General features: G+C 40.0%; 1 protein-coding gene across 12 annotated transcripts in view, besides 3 other annotated features; it reads right to left on the bottom strand.

Moving 5' to 3' along the window:
* THUMPD3 (THUMP domain 3 tRNA guanosine methyltransferase) overlaps window positions 1-21,324 on the bottom strand; it is a 23,738-nt gene extending 2,414 nt beyond the window's left edge. The window contains exons 1-9 of one of the 12 annotated variants that reach the window (XM_011533570.3): window positions 20,185-21,324; window positions 19,058-19,362; window positions 17,393-17,470; window positions 12,842-13,318; window positions 9,732-9,862; window positions 6,490-6,559; window positions 3,760-3,875; window positions 1,069-1,179; window positions 43-166 (exon numbers count right to left, since the gene is read on the bottom strand). In XM_011533570.3, coding sequence (XP_011531872.1) covers window positions 43-166; window positions 1,069-1,179; window positions 3,760-3,875; window positions 6,490-6,559; window positions 9,732-9,862; window positions 12,842-13,318; window positions 17,393-17,470; window positions 19,058-19,309 — 1,359 coding nt within the window. In that variant the 5' untranslated portion in view covers window positions 19,310-19,362; window positions 20,185-21,324. The remainder of the gene's footprint in view (window positions 1-42; window positions 167-1,068; window positions 1,180-3,759; window positions 3,876-6,489; window positions 6,560-9,731; window positions 9,863-12,841; window positions 13,319-17,392; window positions 17,471-19,057; window positions 19,363-20,184) is intronic. The other 11 variants (XM_006713086.4, XM_005265022.5, XM_005265021.5 and 8 more) reach the window with 11 other exon arrangements.
* Window positions 20,875-20,934: an enhancer, noted in NCBI's record as "active region_19402". NCBI's record gives its function as "activates an Ori minimal core promoter by ATAC-STARR-seq in GM12878 lymphoblastoid cells {active_cell/tissue: GM12878}" and the evidence as "EXISTENCE:reporter gene assay evidence [ECO:0000049][PMID:35858748]".
* Window positions 20,955-21,034: an enhancer, noted in NCBI's record as "active region_19401". NCBI's record gives its function as "activates an Ori minimal core promoter by ATAC-STARR-seq in GM12878 lymphoblastoid cells {active_cell/tissue: GM12878}" and the evidence as "EXISTENCE:reporter gene assay evidence [ECO:0000049][PMID:35858748]".
* Window positions 21,105-21,164: an enhancer, noted in NCBI's record as "active region_19400". NCBI's record gives its function as "activates an Ori minimal core promoter by ATAC-STARR-seq in GM12878 lymphoblastoid cells {active_cell/tissue: GM12878}" and the evidence as "EXISTENCE:reporter gene assay evidence [ECO:0000049][PMID:35858748]".

The raw sequence follows: 21,324 nt of genomic DNA, 5'->3' as shown, positions 1-21,324 counted from the left end.
AAGTTGCCACAGGCTGCGATTTTGAGCTAATGTGTATAGCACCTTGGTAAAGCATTTTGTGTCTTGAGTAAGTAGTACAGCTCGGCCTGTGGTAGGTGTGCAGACACGGCTCATCTCCCGTAGGCAAGCTGGATAAAGGTTCCAGTTTCTCTTCTTGGATCCCATCCTATAATAGAAGGTCTCATGAGTCAAACACTTGCAAAAGATACAAAATAGAAGGACTATATGAAACAAAAACAGTTTCATGCATCCTGAGGCATGAAAAATAGCTGTAGTTTTAGAAACCAGACCTTTGCCATTACATGTCTATGAAATAAGTTGAGTTAGTAAACTGCTTAGAATTCTGAATCAAAAAAATTTTTTTTAGACAACTGTGTTAGTTATATGACTTGTCCTCTTAGTATAATAAGCAGTCAAACTGTATAAACCAAACAAGTGATTAGAAATCATTTAGGCCAGGTGTTTTGGTGGCTCATGCCTGTAATCCCAGCAGTTTGGGAGGCTGAGGCGGGCAGATCACCTGAAGTCAGGAGTTTGAGACCAGCCTGGCCAATATGGTGAAACCCTGTCTTTTAAAAATACAAAAATAAGCTGGGCATGATGGCATGTGCCTGAAATCCGAGCTACTCAGGAGGGTGAGGCAGGAGAATCGCTTGAACCCGGGAGGCAGAGGTTACAGTGAGCCGAGATCATACCACTGCACTCCAGCCTGGGCAACAGAGCAGGGCTCTGTCTCCAAAAAAAAAAAAAGAATCATTTATGCTGAGAAACAGAATGAGAACCAAGTCTTCTACCACCTTTTTGTGTAGGATATATAATTCAAGAATGGGCTAGAAAGTGAATTACAGGTAATTTAAAAATGAACCTCCCATGATGGTCAGGATTCCAAATGTAGTTAATACATTCCTGAGTTCTCGGAAGAAACATAATGGGTGAATCCATCATGTTGTTAAGTGAAAAACAGCTCTGCTAAGTCTGCTAAAATTCAAGATTTTTTTCCTGACTTAGAATAAACGCAAGGAAAATAATGACATATTTAGAAGACAAGCAGGTACTAGTATTTCTCACCTTTTTCCAAATGGCAAATCTGTTACAATAATATCCACAGAGCCAGTTCTCAATGGCAGATTGCAGATATCCCACTGAACAGCATCTATGGGCAAGCCCCAGGAGGGTTTGCTGTGGGGACAAAGGAAAGGTGCTTCAACATACTGTGAAGCATAAAGTTATTACAACAATTTTTGTTTCTGAAGAGAGACTGCTACAGCAAAACATAAACTGCTAAGGATATCAGTGATAATATCAACCTATTCAAAATTTAAGAAATGGCACAAAGGTAAAAAATAGGTCAGGCTGGGCATGGTAGCTTGTGCCTATAATCAGCACTTTCAGGGGCTGAGGTGGGAGGATCACTGGACTCCAGGAATTTGAGACCAGCTGAGCAACACTGTGAGACCTTGTCTCTAAAATACTTTTTTAAGAAGTTAGCAGGGCATGATGGCACACACCTATAGTCCCAGCTACTCAGGAGGCTGAGGTGGGAGGATCACTTGAGTCCAGGAGTTGAAAGATGCAGTGAGCTAGGATTGTGCCGCTTTACTCCAGCCTGGGTGACAGAGCAAGACCCCCGTCTCAGAAAAAAGGGAAACAAACTGAAAACATGATTGTAATGCAGAGAACTGCAAAAGACAACTTTAAAAACAATGCTGAAGCAGTAAATTACATAACCGATGATACAAAAATTTAAGTTGCTGATAAAACATACACTGGAGAAAAACAATACTAAAGAATAGATAATGGGGTGATGTATCTGAAGAATAAAGTTTGTAAAACTAGTAATAACAGGAGGCCTAAAAGAAAAACAGATAGTAAAATTGGCAAATATATAGGTAATTGTTTCAAGATGAAAAACCAAAAGGAAAATATGTGCCATGCTATATAAAACAAGACTAAGAAAAAAGTTAAGATAAAAAATATAGATGACAGAAGACAGAATGAATAATAATAAATACAAAGGATTTAAATCCTCCTCATTAAGGCAAAGCAACTGGTTTAAGAAACAAAATAATGCACAGGCTAAGAACTGAAGATAAGTCAAAGGTTATCAGCAGAAATTAAGGATTTAATTGACATTTAATGAAGAATTTAAGAAAAAAATGCAATAAAAGCAATCATTACATAATTTTTAAAAGTACACATAAAATATGTATTATAACCGCATACCAATAACTGCACAAAACAAAAGGCAAAAAATATTAAAAACCAAAGTAAAATGGATAGAAATGTACAGGTTGAGGCCGGGCACAGTGGCTCATGCCTGTAATCCCAGCACTTTGGGAGGCCAAGGTGGGCAGATCATGAGGTCAGGAGATTGAGACCATCCTGGCTAACATGGTGAAAACCCGTCTCTACTAAAAATACAAAAAAAAAATAAGCCGGGCATGGTGGCGGGTGCCTGTAGTCCCAGCTACTTGGGAGGCTGAGGCAGGAGAATGGCGTGAACCCGGGAGGCGGAGCTTGCAGTGAGCCGAGATCAAGCCACTGCACTCCAGCCTGGGCGACAGAGTGAGACTCCGTCTCAAAAAAAAAAAAAAAAAAAAAAAAAAAAAAAAAAAAAAAAAGTACGGGTTGAACAGACAGTGTAGGTACAAACAAGATAAAATATTCAGAAGCTAGAAAGGTACGTTTGTTTAAATGTTTATCAGTTTTAATTAAAAAAAAAAAAGACTGGCCATATACTAGGCTCATTAAAAAAAACCCTCAATAAATATGAAACAACCATTCAAAATTAATTCATCACAATAAATCAGTATTTAAGAAAATTGAAGCCTTCCAACTACTTGTCTTAATACACGTAAAAGGATTTAATGTTGATACATAGACCAGCAGCATCAGCATTGTCCTGGAGTTTCCTGGAAAATGCAGACTCTTAGGTCCCATCCCAAACTACTAAATCAGATCTGTGTTAACAGTACTCCTAGGTGATTCACATGTACATTAATGTTTGAGAAGCACTGTCCTAAAAAATTAGATCAGAGAGACAATGAAATATATAACCAATGACTTAGTAATAAAATAGAGGCGAGGCTATATAAACTGCAGTATTTCTATACGATGGAATTTATGTAGTGACTTTAAAGACTATGGTCCAGGTGTGGTGACTCGTCTCTAATCCCAGCAATTTGGAAGGCTGAAGCGGCAGAATCTCTTGAGGCCAGGAGTTTGACACCAGCCTGGACAAAACAGCAAGACCCCCATCTCTACGAAGATTTTAAAAAATTAGCTGGGCATGGTGGCACATGCCTGTATTCCTAGCTACTAGGGAGGCCAAGGCAGGAGGATTGCTTGAGCTCAGTAGGTTGAGGCTACAGTGAGCCATGATCATGTCACTGCACTCCAGCCTGGGTGACAAAATGAGACCCTGTACCCAAAGCAAAAAAGAAGCCTATGTAAAAATATACTGTTTAAAATTTTGTGAAATTAAAATGAGTCTATAAAATATTCTTCCAATATGTAGGGGAAAAGACATATGAATAAGACAAATGAAAAATTGCATATGGTGGGGAAATTATCGCTAAAATAATATTTTAAAAATATAACTTATTTTCAATAAACTTTAAAAATGTAAATGGAGTCTCATAGTATATTCATTTTGGTTACAATGACGTCACAATGCACTGGGAGTTTTAATTCATAAAGTCAATATAAAAAGTGATTCTCTAACTCTAAAAGATGCTAAGAAATCTTTTAAATTTTTACCCTTCTTTAATTTGGCTCTTGGTCAATAAAGATGCAATGTTATTTGCTGCTCTATTCACAGCCAGTGGATTATTATCACCAGCAATATGGAAACAGTCAGACCATTCAGTGGCCCCCTAAAAGATAAGAGTGTATGTTAAAACAAAAGTAGCAAACTGTAAAATATGATTAAATTGTCAACAAACAAAGAAAATCCAGTGCTTTTCTAGAGTGGCAAAACATTGCATGTTGTCAACTGTGCTATTTCCCTGGCTGAAAATGCCCTCTTATTCTTTCTCTGCTTGCTGAACCTCTACCCATCTCTTAAGACCCAGCTCAAACCTCATGCCCTTTCAACATCAACCTTAACTCTCCAAGCAGTCTTATGTGCCCCTCCCAAAAACACTTTGTATGTACGTACCTCTGCCACTGCACTTGTCCCACGGTTAATTATTTCTTCCCCTTTATGCCTCTCAACTAACCTGGGAGCTCTCTGAGGTCAGGTCTAGTATTTTATTCAGTTCCTCATCCAGCAGTGTCTGGCACACTAAATTCTAAGTTAATGCGGTTTGAAAATATTTGAGATTTGTGGTTGTGGGAGTTTACATAATCTGATATATTTGAAAATTGCAAAATAAAATGCTATTTCCGGCCGGGCATGGTGGCTCACACCTGAAATCCCAGCACTTTGGGAAGCTGAGGCAGGAGGATTTCTTGAGCCCAGGAGTTTGAGACCAGCCTGGGAACATGGTGAAAGCCCATCTCTACAAAAACACAAAAATCAGCTGGGTGTGATGGTGTGCACCTGAGTCTCAGCTACTCGAGAGGCTGAGGTGGGAGAATGGCTTAAGACAGGGAGGCAGAGGTTGCAGGGAGCTGAGATTACACCACTGCACTCCAGCCTGGCTGACAGAGCAAGACCCCAGGTCAAAAAAATAATAGTAAAATGCAATTTCCTTTGTATGATAGGCTTTTGAATGGTAACCACCATATCACTGGAAGGATTTTGTAATTATAAATAAAAAACCTGTCAGCAGAACATAAATACCAAGCTGTCACATGTCATTTGTGGAATGAGGTGACGTGACCCTAGGCCTGAACAATGTTCTATGCAGATTAACAGAAGGTTTCTGACACGAAAGCCGGGAAAGGTCTGCCTCTGCTTAGGGGTGAGTAGCAAACACCTTTGTGTTCCTTTGTGAACAGTAACATACTTCTCATCCATGAGTGCAGTGTTTCATAACTTTTTCTTTTGCCCAGACACTTGAGGGTGATAACATACCCTGTCTACAATCCTACGATGACATCAAACAAAAGGGAAGTTGAAGTATCCCAGAATTTTGGGTGGGTGGGGATGTAGAGGGGACCTAGAGTTTGAGGAAGGCTCTCAGTGATTCCGATTCCCAAATATTCTTTTTTTTTTTTCCTAAACCTATTTGGATTTTCAGCATTGGAAAGAATTGGGTTTTATAGCATAACACTTCTAAATTAAAAAAAAAAATTATTCTAGATCAAGTATTTTATACTTTGGTGAACAAATCTTTATATATACCTTGTCAATTTATTCATAATTTTATTCATTTTGATCATATATCGGCTTAGGTTTTTCTACATTGACATCTGCATGTCTACTCTTACATGGAAATGGCTCAAACTTCATGTTTTAATTTTTTTCGGCCTTTATTTTTACTCGGAGCTCTGTTGTGTATTTCTTGACATGCGGTGACCTTACCTGCTATTTCATACACATATCATGATTTCATACTAGAAAACAACACTCTGCTTTCTTCCCAGAATCCTTCTTGGCCACAAGAAGGACTGGGTTTTTACTGTGCAGTCTCTTTAAGCCACAGTAATTTCTCTAGCTTTCACGGAACACAGTCACATGTAGACTTCTATGATTTCAGTCTTGGATTTTAACTCCCAGAACAGATACCATTTTCTAATTACAGTTTGGATTATTTCTCCCCTTGTGGGCTTGCTTTGGACTTGCTCATCTGTCCAGTTTCTACCCAATCATATAATCTGCTGTGTCTCCCTGCAGTTTATTCAAATTGGCTGTCAGTATACTATATGGAAGAACTACTATGTTTCACACAAACTTCAGTGATTTTACTGGGAGCTCCCTCTTCTAAATTCTTTAAAAACATATAGATGATACTGATTATTCAAGGGGAATCTACTGTGAAATATTCTCCATTTAGAAAATGCCTTTCCATTTCTTGCTTTGCTTTACACAGTTTTTATGAGTCCTCTCAATATCATGGTAATTTTGAAAACTAAGAGCATTTGGTATTAAGCTTGTTAGACTTCCTAAAAAATCCAAGTAATGTTCATAAGTTTCCCCTTTTTACAACTATACTTATTCCCTCTAGGAACTTAAGTGGATTACAGAGAAGAAAATTGCCTTCCTCCAGTTTATGCTTATGCCTTCAATTATCTTTTCCCATTCAAGTCTACCAGCTTGTCTGTTACACAAAGAGGACTCATCGGCAGTTTGTAATTCTCAGCTTCCTCTGTAATCTAGTGAATAGATGTCACTAACAATGTATCTAGGCCAGTGGCACATGGCTCTTTGAAATAAGTAGTTACATTCTTTACAAAAAAGTTCCACTTTCTATTGTTAATTGTTTTAAAACTCTTGGGTCCACTGATCCAACCATGGAGATTTCATTATGTCTAATTTGCCCATTAGGTCTAGAATATTCTGGATGTATCACTCTTATCTAAAAGCTAAAGAAATATGATTACCTCTATTGGTATTGCCCCAGTTCCACACATTGGATCGACTATTATATCATAAGGTAGAGGATCACAGAGCCTAGAGAAAAGAAAACAGCCTATGTGAAGACTCACTCAAAAGCTGAGGCTTCTATACTGATGATTCCTGAAGCTTTAAGATTGAGGACCTACCACACTAGCCCGAAGGAACACCAATCTACACATATTTTAGAAATCAATTTGTGGCCGCGCACGGTGACTCACGCCTGTAATCCCAGCACTTTGGGAGGCTGAGATGGGTGGATCGCTTGAGGTCAGGAATTCAAGACCAGCCTGGCCAACATGGCGAAACCCCGTCTCCACTAAAAATACAAAAAATTAGCTGGGCGTGGTGGTGGGTGCCTGTAATCCCAGCTAGTACAAAGGCTGAGACTCGAGAATTGCTTGAACCCAGAAGGCGGGGATTGCAGTGAGCCAAGATCATGTAAGATGCAGCCTGGGTGACAGAGCAAGACTCCGTCTCAAAAATAAATAAATAAATAAATAAAATCAATTTATAATGATATGTTGACTGTATATTCCATTACTTGGGGAAAAAAAATCCTTATAACTAAATCTCCTTTGACTATCTTCCAAAATCCCATTTCACTCTCAGATGAAATTTAGTTTGCAGACATCTTAAAGTACACATGTGTACACACACACACACACACACGCTCATGCATACTTTTTGACAACAGTGTTGTTTTCAACAGAAACCTGTATTACATTAAAAAGACTCAAAAATGTCTCAAGTCAAACATGCATCAATATAAGGTTACTGGCAATGAGACATTCAGTATTCCTTTCCTTCTGAATTTAAAGCTAATCTTGATATAAAAAAATTGCTCTGTGGGACTAGGTAATAAAAAAAGGAAAAAAAAATGCTTTACTTTGAGCACTTAGTATTTCCTGGGCATGGACTTAAGCTCTTTCCATGCATTATCTCACAGAATCCTCAGTAAGGACCCTGTTAGATAATTATCATTATTCTCATTTTAAAGGTAAGCTGATGCAAGGAAACATGAAGTTACCTGCCCAGGGACACAAAACTAGTAGGTAACAGATTCAAGATTAGAGGCATTACTGTTAGTGGCTTAACTGTTATCCTCTTTATGAAGCATCCCACCCTGAAACAGGTCAGTAGGTTTCTTCCCTTCTCTTGTTCTTCTAATCTTTTCATGTGCTGGTGTGGGACTTATCGCATGTATGATAACTATTTATCTCCCTCACAAGACAGATTCTTGGGGGTTAATAGTGGGTTCTTATTGTAACATTGGTCCTGCTCTATCTCCTTGCTCCTACTCCTCAACACATGGCAATAGAATCCTTGGCAACCCTCTTGAGGGGGTAAGCACCCTGTACTCCAAGCCATTCCTGATGGTCAGGGGTGAATATCTGACCAAAACAATGTCCATCAGATCCTCTCTTCCAGGAATTTGGAACAAAGAGCTAAAAGCCCTAGGCAGTGTGGGTTGGTCGTTTGGAATTGGAAATACATAAATTTAGATGAGAAAGCATGTAGATGAGAAGAGACAAGAGTCCACAGGCTCTAAGGGGAGATAAAAATGGCTGCCTACATTTCTGGTGGTTTTCCAAGATGTGGTTCCTACCCTTCTTGAGAACCAACATTCAGTTTTTCTGTAGAATCCCCAAGATTTCTCTTTATCTTTCCAATAAACCCCTCTCTGGCACAATTATCACTTTTTTATCCTAAACTTGATTACTTAGGTTTTAAATATTTGCACCCAAAATAACACCCTCTCTGTATCCCTGGTTTCTACCATATGCCTGGCAGTAGATAATGCATATTTGTTAAATTAATGAAGACTAGAAGATTTTCCTTTATCAAATGGGCCCAATTTTCTATTATCGTCATTGAATTAATATGTTAGGAAGATAAAAGATTGGAAGAGAAGGAATACAGTCGTGTACTGCATGACAATCTTCCAATCAATGGTGGACCAAATATATGAATGCAGTAATTATAATACCATATTTTGCCCTATCCTTTCTATGTTTAGATACACAAATACCACTGCGTTACAACTGACTACAATATTCAGTACAATAACATGCTGTACAGGTTTGTAGCCTAGGAGCAATAGGAGATACCACATAGCCCAGGTGTGTAGTAGGCTACACCATCTAGATTTGTGTAGGTACACTCCATGAGGTTCGCACAATGATGAAATTGCGTGATGACACATTTTTCAGAATGTATCCCTGTCATTAAGTGATGCATGACTGGACTTAACTACCAGGACATACCAGGCACTGTATATAATAGGTATTTTGCATATGCTTCAGCATTTAATCCTCACTAATAATCCTTTAAGTCTCACATCAAATCCATTTTGCCATCTGGAAAACAGAAGCTTTAGAGAAAATAAACATTTTCAAGTGGTGGAAAGAAGCACCCAATAAAAGAGAGAAGGGCAAAGGAGAAGGAAAGATAGGTCGTGTACTCTGAAAAGCAAAAAATTCTAGGATGATTCCTGAGTTGCTGTGAGTATAAAGCTTAAAAATATAAGTAAAAGCTCTTTCTGTTCATTTACACGTTATACACATAAAAATCTCTGCTTTCATCTTTTTCACTGCACAGAAATGAAACAGCAAAATTTACTCTTATCTCCCAACACACATATCCTTGCTAAACAGAAATGTGGTAACCTCATTCAAGAGGCAGGTGAAAACTATTACTCTCATTTTAAAATCAAGAAAACCGGGCGCGGTGGCTTACACCTGTAATCCCAGCACTTTGGGAGGCCGAGGCGGGTGGATCACCTGAGGTCAGGTATTTGAGACCAGCCTCGCCAACATAGTGAAATGTCGTCTCTATTAAAAAAATACAAAAATTATCTGGGCGTGGTGGCAGGCACCTGTAATCCCAGCTATTCGGCTGAGACAGGAGAATCGCTTGAACCCGGGAGGCAGAGGTTACAGTGAGCTGAGATCTCGCCACTGCAGTCCAGTCTGGGCGACAGAGTGAGACTTTGTCTCAAAAAAAGAAATAAAGAAAACTGAGCCACCTATTAAGCAGTATTTTCAGATCACAAGGAGTCAATATTGGATAGAAGGGAAAGAAATAGATCATTAGCTTTCCATTCTATTCTTTATCCACTCTATTCCAACACAGTACCTCAAACACACATACACACAAATCAGTATTTTGAAGGGAACATTCAAACCAAGGTGCCACTTTAAGCTGGATGGCAAACTCATTTTCTTACCTGAGCATCCCATAGGCAAGAGTTGATCTAAGAGTTGTAGGTCCAAAATGTGTTATATTTCTTCGGTGGAGACTCTCTTCAGTCAATGCAATGCCCACAATGACTTCATTATCATGGATGTTCAAAAGAACCTATAGCAAAGTGGAACAAGACAAAATAGTTTTAGGATTGTTCAAACTGCGCTTAGTAATAAGACTTTTCTGACCTGGGCCGGTTCACCCCTCCTTAGGCAACCTGTTGGTCCCCTACTCCTGGGAGGTCACCATATTGATGCCAAACTTAGTGCAGACACCTGATTGGCATAGCGCACCACAGCCCAGAACTGTCTAAAAAGTTAAGACATTTAAAAAATACATATTAAAAAACCTCTAAGCCTTCAAAATATGTTTGTGTTATAAAAATTGGGGTGAAATCTGGTTGTAGCCAATAAACATAGTGAATTAAAAGAAAATAATAGATATTAAAATGAACGAAAAAAACTATATACTATATGATTTCATTTATATGAAGTTCAAAAATTGGCAAAACGAATTTTTGGTGGTAGCAGTCAGATTAGTGATTGCCTTGAGTGGGTACTGACTGGGAAAGGGCAAGGGGAGCCCGAGGTACTGGAAATAGTTTGTATCTCTATCTGGATGCTGTTTACACATCGTGTATATAAGTAAAAACTTACTGAAAACTTAAGATTTGTGTACTTAAGGGGTGCAAAGTGTATCTCAACAAAAAAGTTTTAAAAATTGGTAAAGTCTCAAATAAAAAGTCTTATTACACTGAGTGCAGTGGCACAGGCCCACAGTCCCAGCTACTCGGGAGGCTGAGGTGGGAGGACAGCCTGAGCCTGGGAGGTCAAGGCTTTAGTGAGCCATGATTGCACCACTGCACTCCAGTCTGGGTGATACAGCGAGACCCTGTCTCAAAAGTGAACTAAACTAAACCAAAATGTTCCCCAATCTTTCACTGAAAGACTTCCTGAGCTTAACCACAGCAGAAGCACAGCTGATACTCATACAGCACTTCCTAATGCAAAGCACTATTCTACACATTTTACATACATGGCCTCATCTCATATTCACATCCCCTAAGCTAGGTATTATTCCCTTTATAAATGAGGATACTGAGGCACAAAGACAGCTCCTCAGGAATTCCCTTTTTGAGACAGGGTCTCACTCTGTCGCCCAGGATTGAGTGCAGTGGCATGATCACAGATCACTGTGGCCTGGACTTCCTGGGCTCAAGCAATCTCTTACTTCAGCCTCCCAAGTACCTGGGACTATAGGTGTCTGTCATCATACTCAGCTAATTTTTTTTTTATTTTTTGTAGAGACAGGGTCTCCCTATGTCGCCTAGGCTGGTCTAGAACTCCTGGCCTGAAACAATCCTCCAATCTTGACCTCCCAAAGTGCTGGGATTACAGGTGTGTGTCACCACACCCAGCCTCCTCTGGGATTTAAACCAATGCAGCACGGCTCCAGAAACTCCTCTGAATCACCTTGCTAACTTTTAGACATCACTGTTCTGGTTAACCTATTCATTTTATTTTTTAAAATATTTATTTTATTTTTAGTGGAGACAGGGTCTCACTATTTTGCCCAGGCTGGTCTCAAATTCTTGGGCTCAAGCGATCTGCCTGCCAAGGCCTCCCAAAGTACTGGAATTACAGGTGTGAGCCACGTATTCATTTGCAAGGCAGTGTATGAGGAAAAAAAGGAATGGGGAATTAGACTCCTGATTTGACATGCACAAAAAAGTTAGAATCAGTGACTTGCCCCAGATTCAAGTGTCCCAAAAGCAACGGAAATTGACTCTTTGGTAAATATATCAGCTGCTAGAGATGTTTTAAGGTGTCAGAGACTTAAATACTTTAGTTCCTATGGTTCACATGTCAATCACCCAGATAAAAGAGGATTAAGACCAAGGAAAGTAAATATACTAAAATGAGGTACCTGGCTTTGGAAATCTAGCAGAATTTAAGAAAGAGGAGAGCTGACTCTAGGATGAGTATTAGCAATGATGTCCTGGTTTGAGAAGGTCAGGGTTTGTTTAAAAAATGCACTTTTTTTTTTTTTGGAGATGGAGTCTTGCTCTGTCACCCACGCTGAAGTGCAGTGGCATGATCTTGGCTCACTGCAACCTCCACCTCCCTGGTTCAAGTGATTCTCCTGCCTCAGCCTCCCCAGTAGCTGGGACCACAGGAGTGTGCCATCATGACGGGCCAATTTTTGTATTTTTAGTAGAGACAGGGTTTCACCATATTGGCCACGCTGGTCTCAAATTCCTGACCTCAAGTGATCCACCTGCCTCGGCCTCCCTCCCAAAGTGCTGGGATTACAGGCGTGAGCCACTGCGCCCAGCCTTATTTTATTTTTTCAGTAGCAAAGCTCTGCAACCAAGACACACAAAAACAAAATAACTATTTTAATTCTGGTTGAATTTTATAATATGAAAGTCCATATAATATAGTAAAAGAGTAGTCTATTAGAAATCAGGCCAGGTGCAGCTATAATCCCAGCACTTTGGGAGGCCAAGACAGGCAGATCACTACAGGAGTTTGAGACCAGCCTGGCCAACAGGGTGAAACCCCATGTCTATTAAAAAATACAAAAATTAGCCAGGTGTGGTGGCATGTGCCTGTAGCCCCAGCTACTTGGGAGGCTGAGCACAAGAATCACTTGAACCAGGAAGGTGGAGGCTGCAGTGAGCTGAGATCGTACCACTGCACTCTAGCCTGGGTGACAGAGCAAGACTCTGTCTCGAAAAAGAAAAAGAAAACAGACAACTCAACCTTGATGGCTTCCATCTATGGAGCACTTAGTGTATGCAAGGTATTGCACCAAATATTTTAAATGTACCTCATTTATCCTTCAGGATAACCTTAAAGGTACATAATATTATTGGCTCCATTTGAAACAGAGGCTCAGAGACTATCTAGTCCAAAGTTATACAGTTGTGGAGTTAAAATTTGGATCTAAATCTGTCTCCATAGCCTATGCTCTTCTTAACCACACCCTACTATTTCCTCAGTTTAATTGTGCATAACATTGGGTTAGTCTGGAAATTCTACAAATCTGTGACAGCATTCTTCAATCACCACAGTCAGAGCCTATACCTACCTCCACATCAAAGTTGGTCATGTCGGCCTTCCACTTAAAATAATCTTGAACAGCACCCCCAAAATCTCTTGCAGCCTCATTTGAGGTAAAGCAATGTTTCTCTCCTGCCCTGTTGCATGTGACTCTAAACTTCAGCACTTGAGGCTCAGTTTCTTCTTTTGAGCTTTCATCAGTCTCATCTTTGCAAGATGCCAAATCATCACCTATTAATGTTGATACATCCTCTTTGATGGCTGGATTTTCATAATAATCTAAGATATGAGAATCTAAAGCATGGCTAGTGAACTCTTTTTTAACATTTCTCTGATCGATTTTGACTTCTTGTCCATTATTAATCTTCTCTTTACTTGAATTCTGATTTATCTTTTTGCGCTTTGCTTTTTTCTTTTTAAAACTGGCATTAATTTTCCACACTTTTAAGGGGTTTGACCATGGGAGTTTTCCAGCCAAGTCTTCAAAATCCTTTAGAACTTCTTCCTGTAAAGGACAGAGAAAGAAATTCATTCATTTCTCACCACTATAATCAAACAAATAAACCTCTACTTTGCTTATGGACAGTTGGTATCCGTGGGGGACACTGGTTCCAGGACCGCCAAAGACACCAAAACCCAAAGATGCTCAAAAGTCCCTCATATAAAATGGTATAGTGTCTACATATGACCTACACACATCCTCTCAAGAGTAACTTAAATCATCTCTATCTTACCTATGATACCTGATACAATGTAAATGCTATGGAAATAGTTGTTATACTGTATTGTTTGGGAAATAATGACAAGAAAAAAAGTCTGGGCTGGATATGGTGGCTCATGCCTGTAATCCCAGCACTTTAGGAAGCTGAAGCAAGTGGATCACTTGAACTTAGGAGTTTGAGACCAGACTGGGCAACATGGCAAAACTCTGTCTCCACAAAAAAATACAAAAATTAACTGGGCATGGTGGCACGTGCCTGTAGTCCCAGCTACTCAGGAAGCTGAGATGGGAGGACTGCTTGAGCCTGGGAGGTCAAGGCTCCAATGAGCTATGATCACGCCAATGCACTCCAGCTTAGACAACAGAGCAAGATCTTGTCTAAAAAAATAAATCTTTTACAAAAGAGAATGAACACTGACTACAATATTCTTAAGGAAAGAAAGCCTAACTCCAAATTTTATACCCAAACTATCAGCCAAATATAAAGGTGAAAGACAAACATTTCTGAACTCATGCCATTCAACAGATACAAATTATAACAAAAGGACAAATAATGTGCCTATAATCTATTTAATTATATCACTAAAATGAAAACAAGTGTAGGGATTGTGATTATAAAGCAGAAGGTAAATGTTACAAACTGGCATGTAAATGGGCATACTGATACCCTCATCTCTTACACCCAGAGGTCAAAGGATAGAAGTTAAAGCTGATAAATAAAATGTAAGTATATTTAAAAGTTTAAGGGTGAACACTAAGAAAAATAACTGAAAAATAAAGGAAAAAAGTATAAATATGCCAATTTCATCATTGCTTTTAGCAGGGATTCAAAAAATACCGTGTATATATGGTAGATAAGGTAGATAATATCAAATTGTAGTTATAAAGGTAACAGCTAGAACACACACACATAAACCTTCCAAACTATTAGAAAACACAGGCATATGAAAAAAGTAAAGACATAATGTAAAGATTTTTCAAATTAAGAAAAAACAAAAAGTATGAGCATGACAAAACTAAGACTAAACAGTTGTCATTATCAATAAGTATCAATGGGATAAACACAAAGATGACACTCAGTTTGAATATGTACAAGAATTTACATAGTGTATTTGTTGCACCACTGTAATAGCAAAAGAATGTGAAAAACCCTCATGCCCTAAAATGGGACTGGTTAAATTATTATACAGCCAAACAATGGAGTATACGCAGCCAATTCCAGCAATGATACTGCCAGGATCTCCAACATATAGGTTGAACATTCCTAATCTCAAAGTCCAAAATCCAAAACCTAAAATTTTTTTGAAGTGCCAACATGATGCCACACAGGTAGCTGAGATAGTGACACCTTTGCTTTCTGATGGTTCAGTGTACACAAACTTTGTTTCATGTATAAATTATTTTAAAAATCATATAAAATTACCGTCAAGCTATACGTATAACGTATATATGAAACAAATGAATCTTGGATTTATTTATACATAGGTTCCACCCTCAGAGTATTTCTTTCTTTTTTTTTTTTTTTTTTTTTTTTGAGACGGAGTCTTGCTCTGTTGCCCAGACTAGAGTGCAGTGGCGTGATCTCGGCTCACTGCAACTTCTGCCTCCCGGGTTCAAGTGATTCTCCTGCCTCAGCCTCCCGAGTAGCTGGAATTACAGAAGCCCGCCACCGCACCCGGCTAATTTTTGTATTTTTAGTAGAGATGGTGTTTCACCACCTTGGCCATGCTGCTCTCAAACTCCTGACCTCATGATTCACCTGCTTTGGCTTCCCAAAGTGCTGGGATTACAGGTGTGAGCCACCATGCCCAACCCAGAATATTTCAAAAAACAAACAAACAAAAATCCAAAACATTTCTGGTCCCGAGTATTTCAGATAAGGGATACTCAACTTGTATATGAAAAAAAAGCATAGCGCAGAAAAGTATGTATGCTATGCTTTCATTTGTGTAAATAAAATACATTTATTCGTAAAATATCTCCAGAATAATACCCAAGAAATTGCTAACAGTTGTTGCCTCCAGGGAGGGAGCTGCATAGCATGAGGATATAGGAACAAAGACTTACTTTTCACTCTATATCCATTCAGTCTTTACAAGTTTGCTCCAAATACATGTATTAACTAGTCTTTAAAAACCCATATAAATCACAGATTTGTTCATACTTTTAAAAAGGCAGATGGAGGCCAGGCGCGGTGGCTTACGCCTGTAACCCCAGCACTTTGAGAGGCCAAGACAGGTGGATCACGAGGTCAGGAGTTCAAGACCAGCCTGGCCAAGATGCTGAAACCCCGTCTCTACTAAAAATACAAAAATTAGCCGGGCATGGTGGCATATGCCTATAGTCCCAGCTACTCGGGAGGCTGAGGCAGGAGAATCGCTTGAACCCAGGTGGCAGAGGTTGCAGTAGGCTGAGATTGTGCCACTGCACTCCAGCCTAGGCAACAGAGCAAGACTCTGTCTCAAAAAAAAAAAAAAAAAAAATATGCGCGGGTGGAGGTGGGGAATGGGGGCCAGGTGCAATGGCTTACACCTGTAATCCCAGCACTTTGGGAGGCTTAAGTGGGAGGATCACTTGAGCCCAGAAGTTTGAGACCAGCCTGGGCAACATAGTGAGACCCCATCTCAATATTTTTTAAAAGAGGGGGGTGGGGACTAATAAATTCATGATTATCATCTGAATACTTAAGAGAACTCATTAGAATTGCTTTAAGCTTTTCTAAAAGTTAGATTTTTACTTAATACAATTTTTATCTATTTTCAGTCTGACTTTTTTTTTTGAGATGGAGTCTCGCTCTGTCGCCCAGGCTGGAGTGCAGTGGTGTGATCTCTGCTCACTGCCAGCTCCGCCTCCCGGGTTCACGCCATTCTCCTGCCTCAGCCTCCTGAGTAGCTGGGACTACAGGCGCCCACCACTACGCCCGGCTAATTTTTTATATTTTTAGTAGAGACGGGGTTTCACCGTGTTAGCCAGGATGGTCTCGATCTCCTGACCTCATGATCCACCCGCCTCGGCCTCCCAAAGTGCTGGGATTACAGGTGTGAGCCACCACGCCAGGCCCTTAAGTCTGACTTCTTTTAGGTCTGGTCTTATTGTTTTCTAGGCTGAGGGTTCATACAACTTTGACTCGTTTTTGAATAACGTTTTGGAAATCAACATGCTTGCCAATAAATAAAAGTTAGACAATTAGGTAGCGTATCACAGTTGTTTTTAAAAAGATTATTTCTAAGATACGTAAAACTGATAGAAAAATGTTTTTAAGCGGTTAACTCTAGAAACCTAACCAAAAAGCAGTGTGGAAAAAACCTAAAGCCTTGCTGCAATCTATTTTCAACCTTCAGCTTAGGCAGCAGCTGAATATTTAGGATTCAGATGCTAAATACATATTGGAGACAAAGCTGTTGTCCTAACAACTGAAGGAGTATTTAGATGTTATTTTGGCTTTATTTCAAAAAATGAAGAAAGAGAAGAAAGCAGAGCAAAAGCAGGATGGTGAGGAAGTGTTATTTGTAGAAGACACAAACTGTCACTTGTTCTTTGGTTCATGTTCTGGAAGCAATTCTCTTTTGGAACTAAATATATGTAAAAGCAAAGCAAATCTAAGGTTTATATCTCTTACAAGTAAAACAAGGTGTTTTCTTCTTTCTTATAAACTTTAATGGTTTTCAATACTAATTTTCAAAAAACATCTTTTGGGATAGACTGTCAGCAAAACTCTAGATTTTACTGTAAAAGCCTCCCAGTATTCTCTATTACAAAGACTACAGTAATGCTAAACTTTCACAGACTATGAAAAATGGAAATAATCTCTTTGTGGAAGACAGCCAAAAATCAGCCACCATGTTTAGGATAGCTCACCTTTGTTTGTTTGAACTGGTAATCTTGAAACTCCTGAACCACCACAAATAAGTTATCAACTGATCTCAGACAATGAACCTGGGTGAAAAAAAAAGAAACACATTTCTGAGAAAGCTTTTGAACAGCACAAGCTATCAACAATTAAGTATTTAAAAAATTAGGAATGATAGTTTTAAAGCAGCTACTAACTATATTTTGTATTTTTAAAATGTCCCATCTCCCTAGTTTCTCATCTCTTTGGTTACTAATCAGCTTTCCCCTAGAGAAAGGGAAAAAGGGCAGATGGAAAGAGAGAAGCATGAAGTGTTTTGTGGGCAACACGTCTTTTGTGGGAGAAGAGAAAGGTGAAGCCACTCAGGTGGGCTGTATCATATTTCCTCGATGACTTTCTAGGGTACACTGTATGCTGCAATGGTTAAAAGCAGGGGATTTGAGCTCCAGTTCTGTGATTACTAGCTGAGTGGCCCTGGGGAAATTATTTATGTGTCCTAAGCCTAATGATTAATGAGGATAATAATAGTGCCTATCTTCACAAAGCTGCTGAGGGTATTGGCTAAAATATTGGATGGAAAACATTTGCTTACCAATTCATCCCACAGATATTTTCTGGGTACCTACTATATGCCAGACACTAAGAGCGTGGGATATATTGGTGGAAAAAAAAATAGACAACAATCCTTGCCCTCTCACTGCTTATGTGGTAATGAGATATATCAGCTTTATGATAGTGAGATTGCAGTTTTCTGACCTTCACTTTTTACCTTGAGTGAGTCCTAATTACTTCTGAGCAAGAATTTTTGATGCAAATTAAAAGGAAAATCTCTTTTATGTTTCATCACCAAAGGTTAAACATCTGCTATATGCTGAAGTAAATAAATACTGAGATACTTAGAGAATTTCTTAAGTTGAACAGTATTCTTTCTGGTGAATTCAATCCTCAAGAAATACTAGATCACCTCTAAAAATGTAGCAATCCTACTACAGGTTGAGCAGCCCACATCTAAAAATCTGAAACTTTTTGAGCCCCAACACAATGCTGAAAGGAAATGCTCAGTGCAGCATTTCGGATTTTCAGATTAGAAATGCTCAACTGGCAGGCCGAGCGCAGTGGCTCAGGCCTGTAATCCCAGCACTTTGGGAGGTCGAGGCGGGTGGATCACGGGGTTAGGAGTTCGAGACCAGCCTGGCCAGGATGGTGAAACCCCGTTTCTACTAAATATACAAAAATTAGCCAGATGCGGTGGCGGGCGCCTGTAGTCCCAGCTACTGGGGAGGCTGAGGCAGGAGAATTGCTTGAACCTGGGAGGCGGAGGTTGCAGTGAGCCAAGATCGCGCCATTGCACTCCAGCCTGATGACAGAGCAAGACTCTGTCTCAAAGAAAAAGAAAAAAAAAAGAAATGCTCAACTGGCAAGTATAATGCAAATATTCCAAAACTCCCCCCACCCCCCTCCAAAAATCTGAAACACTTTTGGTCCTAAGGGATACTGAAACTACAGTCAAAATTACAAATCAGTACTCAATAGAAAATGCAGTAACTTTAAAATCACCTGATTTGGGGCAGAGCAATGAAAATCAGAAAGGATTCCAGAAGGGTCTATAAAATGAAAAGTAACCATAAAATGATCAACTTAGAAAACTATTTTAAATATTGCTCCATTCAAACCTGTGCCAGACTTTCCACTGAAATGACAAAATATATCTTGCCACGGTCTCTGCTGATTTTGCATGATGACCCAAGTTTCTCTCTGACTTCATCTGCAGCTGTTTGCTCAAAGCCAGTAGGTACAGTGGCTCCAATAGTGACTAGAAGCTCAGATTCACTTCCGAGGTCACTTTCTGTCACTTGTACAGACTTCTGGTTCTCATGAAGGTTCACATCTAGGAGTTGGTTAGTGGCTTCTTCAATGTCACACATGTTGGCTGTGCTTCCAAGATCCCTAACACTGTCTCTTTAAAAGCAGTACTGTCCTTTAAAAGAAAAAGAAATAAAGCCCAAATATTATCATCTCATATTTCAGTTATAATTAAAAACATGGGCTCTGGAGGGCAGGAAGAACAAGGCAACACATCTGATAAACAGTCACCAAAGTAAAAAGGGTTGAATAAACATGGGCACAGAGTGCAGGCTGTAAAACATGATGTTATTATTAAAGAAGCAATACAGATACCATGGGAGAAAAAGAGACAAGAAGTATTTCCATAGCATGCAATGTTTGCTTTGGGGTAACCCATGTTGACAAAAGCCATTTCATAACTACGACAGAAACTGCAGATCACATTCAAATCCATTTCTGCATCTAGATGTTAAGAACATGGTTAGTTAAGAATATAGGGCTTGGCTGGGCGTGGTGGCTCACACCTGTAATCCCAGCACTTTGGGAGGCCGAGGCGGGCAGATTGCCTGAGGTCAGGAGTTCAAGACCAGCCTGGCCCACATGGTGAAACCCCGTCTCTACTAAAAATACAAACATTAGCCAGGTGTGGTGGTGGGAGCCTGTAATCCCAGCTACTTGGGAGGCTGAGGGAGGAGAATTGCTTGAATCCGGGAGGTGGAGATTGCAGTGAGCTGAGATCATGCCACTGCACTCCGGCTGGGGTAACAGAACAAGACTCTGTCTCAAAAAAATAAATAAATAAATAAAATAAATAATAATAATAATAATAATATGGGGCTTTTGGAGTTTCAGATAGATACAGGTTTGAATTCTTGCCTCCACCATCATAGGTTGAATGACTTATGGCAAATTAATTCTCCCAAACCTTCAAATGTAATTAAGTAATTAGTAATACCTCTTTCCTAGAGTCGTTAGGAGACAAGTGAGAGTAGTACCTGGTTAGGCCAATAATTAAAACTTATTAATAGGCTATCTATCTTCTTCCCTCCTGTGAAATAGCATTTCATGCATTTAAAAATGATTAACTGGGCTGGGCACACTGGCTCATGCCTGTAATCCCAGCACTTTAGGGAGCTGAGGTGAGTAGATTGCTTGAGGCCAAGAGTTCGAGACCAATCTGCGTAAGATGGCAAAATCTCATCTCTACCAAAAACACAAAAAATAGCTGGGCGTGGTGGTGGGCGCCTGGAGTCCAGCTACTTGGGAGGCTGAGGTGGGAGGACTGCACTCCAGCCTGGGTGACACAGTGAGGCCCTGTCTCAAAAAAAAAAAAAAAAAAAAAGAAAAAATTAAAAATAAAAATGGTTAACTGAATACTTACTATCTAATGATTACAAATGTTCAAACGCCTACTACTTGCCAGACTCTGGGATCCATAGATGGGCATCAGGAGAGAGATCTTGGAAGTAATCCGAAATAGTAAAACAAATTTCCTATGCATAAGCTTTTGTGTGTGCTTGGGGTGGGGGCCGGGGGAAGTATTAGAGAGGTGGAGGGGCCATAGCTTACACGAGATTTTCAAAAGGTCTGTGACTCAAAATAACTTAATTGAGTACAGAATACCTATAATGTCCTTGTGCTGTGCCAGCGATACACGACAGTGTTTAACACTACGTCAGTTCCCGCCGTTAAAAAGCTGACAGTCACTGTGAATACAATCTCCATCTTCTAAAAAATGCAGCTGAGGTCAGCTAAAGGACGCGTTCCGCACAAGGTCAGAGAGCCAATGAGAGGCGCAGAATGAAAGAGAACTCACGTCTCCCAACTCCCACCTACAGGGCCCGGGAATCCTAGGGAGCGGGTAAAGGCCTGGGAGAGGGAGCAAGATGGGCTCCGCCACGAGATCCGCCTGAAGTCCGGCTCGGCGCCGGCCTCAACTGCAAGAGGAAGGCCACCCCTCTCTCCCCAAGCTGAAACACCAGAAGAGCCACACTCGGCCGTTCCCAACCGCCGCCAGTTACCGGCCGCCAGCGAAGACCCTTTCAGCTCCCACACTCCATTGGCCTCTTGCGGTCAGGTCACGCCGCCGGAAGCC

The sequence above is a fragment of the Homo sapiens genome, chromosome 3 (genome assembly GCF_000001405.40).
Source record: "Homo sapiens chromosome 3, GRCh38.p14 Primary Assembly".
NCBI lineage: Eukaryota > Metazoa > Chordata > Mammalia > Primates > Hominidae > Homo > Homo sapiens.
This window is presented reverse-complemented; position numbering and strand designations above follow the sequence as displayed.